The following is a 5,996-nucleotide window of genomic DNA, read 5'->3' on the forward strand; positions in this document are numbered from 1 at the left end:
GTTGGTGTTTTAAACTTGTAATGAATACTACTATGTAAATGAGAGAAGGGGCATTTGCTAAGGAATCCAGTATTCATGTAAACAGAGTTACATCAATAAGGCTAAAATAATAACACCCTAAAATTAAAACAACATGGGATATCATTTAATCCTGAATAATTTTGAGGGCACTTTGGACCTTTGTAATGATTTAGAGTAATCTTTCTAAATATCACTTAGAATAATGCCCTGCAGATGTACAGCTACTGGAGTTCTGAATAGGCCAGTTAAATCAGATTTTAAATGTAAAACATGCAAATGTGAGTCAGTGTTTATAATATTAAAAAATACATAAAATTTGTATGGTAGGCCTCTGTGTCAAAATTCATTCTATATTTGGTATACACTATACATTAGGGTGTTTTGTTGAGTAGAGGTAAATAACCAGAGGGAAATGAATTCACCTGGGTTTTAACGAAATAAGAAGCAAATAGGGAGGGAACAACATAGCAAATGACTAGATGTTCTTATCACTAGAAAGGTTACATATCCTTTGTGTTGGAGGGCAAAGGCAAGGGGTTGAGCAGAGATGGGTAGAGGAGCCAAGACAGTGGACAGGAAGTGGACTGAGATCTAGTCTGTGCTCTTGGCAAACTCTCCATTCCGCATTTCCCTCTTCTGCTGCCTGACATCTGCTATTTTGAAACCTAGGAAGGTCAGGAAGATACAGCAGGAGTGACTGACCTAGAGAATGTGCAGTTGGAAACTAGGCTTTGGTAGCTTTCACTTTTTATCTCCTTTAGAAACACGGATGAAAGTTCTGCCATCAGTGAGGGATAAATAGTAGCCCAGGGCCTTGAAAAAGCAGTTTTAGATCCCTGGGACAATTTCTACTATTTTACTATGTCTGAAGATTAGGGAGGTTATTTTTGTAATTTGAGGCCAACACCCATCTCTTGAGCCTTATATGAAGCACTGAAGAATGTTAATAGATTTGGCTAGCATTTGGGTCAATTATTTCAAATGGCTATCTGGGAGTCATAAAACAGATGGTCCTGAAATTGTACTGCGTTGGTGGATGTAGATTGGCAGCCATCTTTTAAGGGCAAAATTATGTTAAAAGCTAAGCCAGAACAAATGAGCAACAACTGATTTATAATATTTTGCAATGTTATGAAAAATGGTTCCTTAAAACAGATTCACAGGACTGATGGTGATGTTCCATTGTGTTTCTTTGTGAAAATGTGATATTAAACACACCAGTAAATGAATCTGAGGCCCTCCGTCCTTCCCCTCCTCCCTCCCTCCCTTCCTTCCTTCCACAGATCTAGTCTTCGCTCCTTCCTTCCTTCCTTCCTTCCTTCCTTCCTTCCTTCCTTCCTTCCTTTCCTTCCTCCCTCCCTCCCTCTTTCCTTATAGTTATTTTGGGAGTATGGATGTATTTAGTTTGGGTCTTTGGTTTTAATTAGAGTATTTATTAAATAACAAGGAATCTGCTTTGAGTTAGTGTAAAAGCAAATCATGAACTATAGATTACCTTTGAAATTACTGTAACATGGTCAATATTTTTGTTGTTTTTGTAGTTGGGACAAGATAAATTTTAAAATAAAATTGTCAACATTTAAAGAAAATTGTCAACATATAGCTACTCTTTGTGAAACTGACCTACTATAAGATGAAACTTTTTTTATCATTTGCTGTAAAAGGAAGATTTGTTATTTATTGGAAAATTTTATAGGTCTAAGAGCTCTTATATTAAATTATATATATATATATATATATATATATACTCACACATACATATGTGTATATATATTTAGATGCAGGATCTCACTGTGTTGCTCAGGCTGGAGTGCAGTGGTGTGATCAGAGGTCACTGCAGCCTTTAACTCCTGGGCTCAAGTGATTCTCAAGCCTCGGCCTCCTGAATAGCTGGGACTACAGGTGCATGTCAGTATACCTAGCTAATATTTTTTATTTTTGTAGATACAGGGTCTCTCTATGTTGCCCAGGATAGTCTCAAACTCCTGGCTTCAAGCAGTCTTCCCACCTGGGCCTCCCAAAGTGCTGGGATTATGCATGTGAGCCACCATGCCGGCCAGCTATAGAATTTTAAAGCTGTAATAACCTAACATGTGGGGTACCCCCCACAGATGAAGAATCAGAGAGATTAAATAACTTCTCAAGGAGACTCAATTATTAGTGGCACAGAAAAACGTAAACCCTAGTTTGCTGACTTTGTCTAGTATCACTTAGGTTTCTAATACACAAACTTTCATTGACAGGATTTAAACTTGCAAGTGACTTACAAGTTTTGACTGCCTAGTCCTCATATGCTTAGGTTATGCTTTAGGTTTCTAGTTCTGTGGGACTGAGTTAAATAATGGTTTCCCCATGTTCATGGATAGGAATTTTAAAAATTGAGATATAATCCACATACAATGGTATCTATTTTTACTCATTCATTTTGAAATCTAAAGTTTAACTTCTATTCATAATATCCATTTTACTTAGGCAGTGAGTATATAATAACCCTCACCTCAGAAAAGTTTCTACAGTTAAAAGACACGGGCTGAGGAGAGTTCATCTTCATCCTTACTAGCATTTTGGAGTACGTATAAAGGCGTCTGCGGATGCCTAATGATTAAAAAAAAAGTTCCCCTCACCATGGTGAATAGGGTTTTTACGAGAAAAATATGGAGAAAGCAGAGATTATTACCATTGAAAAAGACAAGGTGTTAACAGAAATGGGAGGGTAGCTTGATAGAGTCCAAACTTGACTGAACTCTCTAGGTTAGGGCCAAAGGCAAGTACTGAGGACAGGCATGGACTGTTGCGTTCAACTTGTCAAAAAAGTGGCCAATATGTAGTATGGACCAAGCCTATAGAGGCGCTGAGAATACAGAGATGAATGAGCCAGTTCCTGAAGGAGCCCAGTCTGCGTGTGTTTGCGAGTTGAGAAGAGGAGGAGGGAGGCAGCATGGGGAGTGTGGGGATGGAGGAATTAGATTGAAAGAGAAGGCCGAAAAACTGAATATATAGTAGAAATTTGGGGTGCAGATATGTGCTGCCTAGAAAGGCAGAAACCTGTCCCAGAACCTCTTAATACATTAGTCTCATTTGCCAAATTTGGCCAGATATCATGACTGTGGTCCTCTCGAGATGCCCTCTTGAATCGGCTTAAAAATTATCCTTCCGCAACCACCCCTAGCTTTCCCCACCGCCAGTGCGCCGGGCAGGTTGAAAACTGCACCCACGTTTGCAGCCTCTGCTCTCCGCAGGAGACAGGAATCCAGGGCTTTGCCGTCGTCATAGCAACCAGAAGTTCCGCGGTCCCCTACCCTCCCGCGACTTTTTCCACTTCCTCCGCCTGCAGGGCCCAGCCGCCGCTTCTCTCGCGAGACTTGTGCGCCGCGCTAAGCCGCTCCGTGGTGATCTCACCCGAGACTTGGGGGAGAGGGAGGAGTGAAGGAGGGGAAGGAATGGGGCGGGAGGCGGGGCGGGGAGGGGAAGGGCGAGTGAGGCGCCGCCACTGCCGGCAACTTTGTGAGCGAGTTCAGTGCGTGCGTGAGCGAGTGAGCGAAAAGTCAGTGCAGCGCCGAGTCCCCGGCTGGAGGGTCCCCGGGGAGGGCCAGGTCTGGGCCCCAGAGGCCGCCCCCGCAGCCACTCCATTCCCTCCCGCCTCTGTGGCTCCCTCCCCATTTCCTCCCCCACCGGTCGTTGGGGCCTTCCCGCCCCCGTCCGCACTTACCTGTCCCCTCCCCCATGCGGTACGCACCTCCTCATCCCCCCCCCGGCAACCTCGCGCCCACCTTGGACCTTCGGAGCCCGGACCCCCGCACTTGCTTCCCGTACTGGCCGCCCCCTCAGTTCTTTCTGCTGGCGGGCGGGATGGGGGCGCTGAGCCTCGGGGACGGCGCGAGCGGGGGCCCGGGCGCCTAGACAATAGTTGATGCCCAAGGACGGGGCCACCTCCGCCTTCCCCTCCTCCGGGAGCTCGGCCCCCGCCGGCCCCCCGCCAGCCTGTATTCCGGGTCCCCCTCGGAGCCAGCCTCGGGAATTGGGCTGATTCCACCCCCGCCTCCCTCGGGCCCCCCTCCGCTCCGCGCTCGGCGCCCGCCTCGGGCCGGCCTCGCCGCTCTCCGCAGAGGAGGCGGCGAGTGAGCGCGCGCCGGCCGTCTACACGGTTTCTCTTTCTCCCCAGGGAGAGCGCGCGGCGGACGCGCCCGGGACGCGCGGCGGCACCGGGAGGCCGGGCCGAGCGGTAAGTGGTCCCCGCGCCCGGGTCCTGGGGGGAGCGGGGGTGCAGGACGGCTGACAGCCCCCTGCCCTGTTTCTGGCCGGGGTTGGGGTCCAGGGCCCGGAGCAGGACCCCAGGAGGCCGGTTAAAGTTTGATTTTCGATTTGGTGGCTTGCTGGTAGCTTAGCCCGGCGGGGGCGAGTCCGGCTTCACCGCGCCCGGCGCGCGCGCACGCACCCCAGAACCCGAATCTGCACAACTACTGGGCAGGCGTCTCTGCGGGAGGCCAGGAGACCCGCGTCCCGGTCCGGGCGGTTGCGTCCACCCCGCTGAGCTGGTCGCCACCTGGCGACCCTTCCCCTCCAGTCACCTGGGTGAGCGCTTTGCAGCCTGAGCTGGAGTAGGCAGGCCGAGTTGGTTGAGTTGTGGGAAATGGAGACGAACAGCTCGGTGCCCGAGGGTGGTTAATTTCCCCTTTGGGGGTCTTGGGGACATGAAATTTTGGGATGCTCTAACCTGCTTTCCGGGGAGCGAGTAAACCGCGAAAGGGCTGGGAAGGCGTGAGGGTGCCGCAAAAAGAACTTTTCCTCCTTCGCCCCATCTGTTACCAGCTTCTCTCCTGACCTTAAAGGAAATTTCCGAGGCTCTTAAATCGCTCCACGGCATTTCTAGGTGGACCAGTAATCGTGTTGGGCAGGTTGAAATTTCATCGCGGTTTGGAGAACAGAGAGACATGGGAAATGGCTCACTTCCAAGGAAGATGTTTAGCTAAATTGTTGGCATTCGTTTTCTAAGAGAAGCATTTGGGGATTGATGGCTCCTAGACTACGATTACCTTATAGATTTTATTTTTCCTGACGGGTAGTTTAGAGGCAGCATTCGCTGAAATGCATACTACCTGTGAAACGATCATGTTTCTAAACTGGAGCCAGCGATGTGATGCAAATTTCAGAATAAAGGTGTCGACTTTCATCAGGTTCCAGGTCTATCTGGATGGACTGGGATTGGCGTTTCCTCTATAAAGCAAACCTTTCATGTTGAAACTCTGAGTCAGACTCTTAAAGCCATTGTCTTTATGCTGGTACTCTGTGGGAGTTAAGTGTCAACTTTCTCCTGTTTTCTCCTATGGAGTATCCGTCCAAGGCAAAGATTCTCTGACTGAATCTTTTGGAAACGTGCAAGGTTAGATCATACTGAATTCTGCAGCCAGTTTAGTAATAATATTAGTTTTCTATATAATCCTGATTTAACGACTGTCATTTTTCTCTTCGTTTTTTGAAAGCTGCAATTAAGCTACCTTTACCAGGATTTAAAAAAGAGGATAATATGGAACAGTGGTAATAACAGTAGGTCTCAGCTAATTTATTATGGCCACCGATGTGTCCAACTATTAGATGACATCCCAGTTATTAACTACAATATTAATATTAAAACATTTTTCCCATGGAATCAATTATGCTAAAGCATTAACAATTAACAGTGCATTTAAAATGATGAGTGATTGTTTCCACATAAATGGTTAGAGGCAAAATAAGAGATTTGGGGGATGAATGGCTTTATGTCTCTGACAACTAATTTTCTTATTAATGCTTAAGTAAAGGACTCTTGAAGTTGACTGTCATTTGATTTTTCTAGTTGACTGAGTGAACAAGTTTGGTGAGTGGCTTGAGACAGTCAGTAGGTGTTGCTGTTGTTAGCTTCTCTGCAGTTCCTGCTTCTGCTCCTCGAGTTTGAAATTGCAATTCTGGTACAGTGAACTTTTAAAATCTGAAGTATC

General features: G+C 46.8%; 1 protein-coding gene and 1 long non-coding RNA gene across 40 annotated transcripts in view, besides 2 other annotated features; one reads left to right on the forward strand and one right to left on the reverse strand.

Annotated features, from left to right (window-relative positions):
• The window catches only part of SIPA1L1-AS1 (SIPA1L1 antisense RNA 1), a 29,125-nt gene extending 24,215 nt beyond the window's left edge, over positions 1-4,910 (reverse strand). For 6 of the 10 annotated variants that reach the window (NR_184179.1, NR_184180.1, NR_184177.1 and 3 more), the window contains exon 1: positions 4,736-4,910. This is a non-coding gene — a long non-coding RNA (SIPA1L1 antisense RNA 1). The remainder of the gene's footprint in view (positions 1-4,735) is intronic. The other 4 variants (NR_184174.1, NR_184173.1, NR_184175.1 and 1 more) reach the window with 1 other exon arrangement.
• Positions 3,017-3,176: an enhancer, noted in NCBI's record as "active region_8672". NCBI's record gives its function as "activates an Ori minimal core promoter by ATAC-STARR-seq in GM12878 lymphoblastoid cells {active_cell/tissue: GM12878}" and the evidence as "EXISTENCE:reporter gene assay evidence [ECO:0000049][PMID:35858748]".
• Positions 3,437-4,456: a silencer, noted in NCBI's record as "silent region_5897". NCBI's record gives its function as "represses an Ori minimal core promoter by ATAC-STARR-seq in GM12878 lymphoblastoid cells {active_cell/tissue: GM12878}" and the evidence as "EXISTENCE:reporter gene assay evidence [ECO:0000049][PMID:35858748]".
• The window catches only part of SIPA1L1 (signal induced proliferation associated 1 like 1), a 420,734-nt gene continuing 418,275 nt past the window's right edge, over positions 3,538-5,996 (forward strand). For 21 of the 30 annotated variants that reach the window (XM_047431243.1, XM_047431251.1, XM_047431209.1 and 18 more), the window contains exons 1-2: positions 3,538-3,565; positions 4,184-4,243. The gene's annotated coding sequence lies outside the window, so the exon portion shown is untranslated. Of the gene's footprint in view, positions 4,594-5,996 lie in introns of all 30 variants that reach the window. The other 9 variants (XM_047431223.1, XM_047431248.1, XM_047431241.1 and 6 more) reach the window with 3 other exon arrangements.

The sequence above is a fragment of the Homo sapiens genome, chromosome 14, assembly GCF_000001405.40.
Source record: "Homo sapiens chromosome 14, GRCh38.p14 Primary Assembly".
NCBI classification, from domain to species: Eukaryota; Metazoa; Chordata; class Mammalia; order Primates; family Hominidae; genus Homo; species Homo sapiens.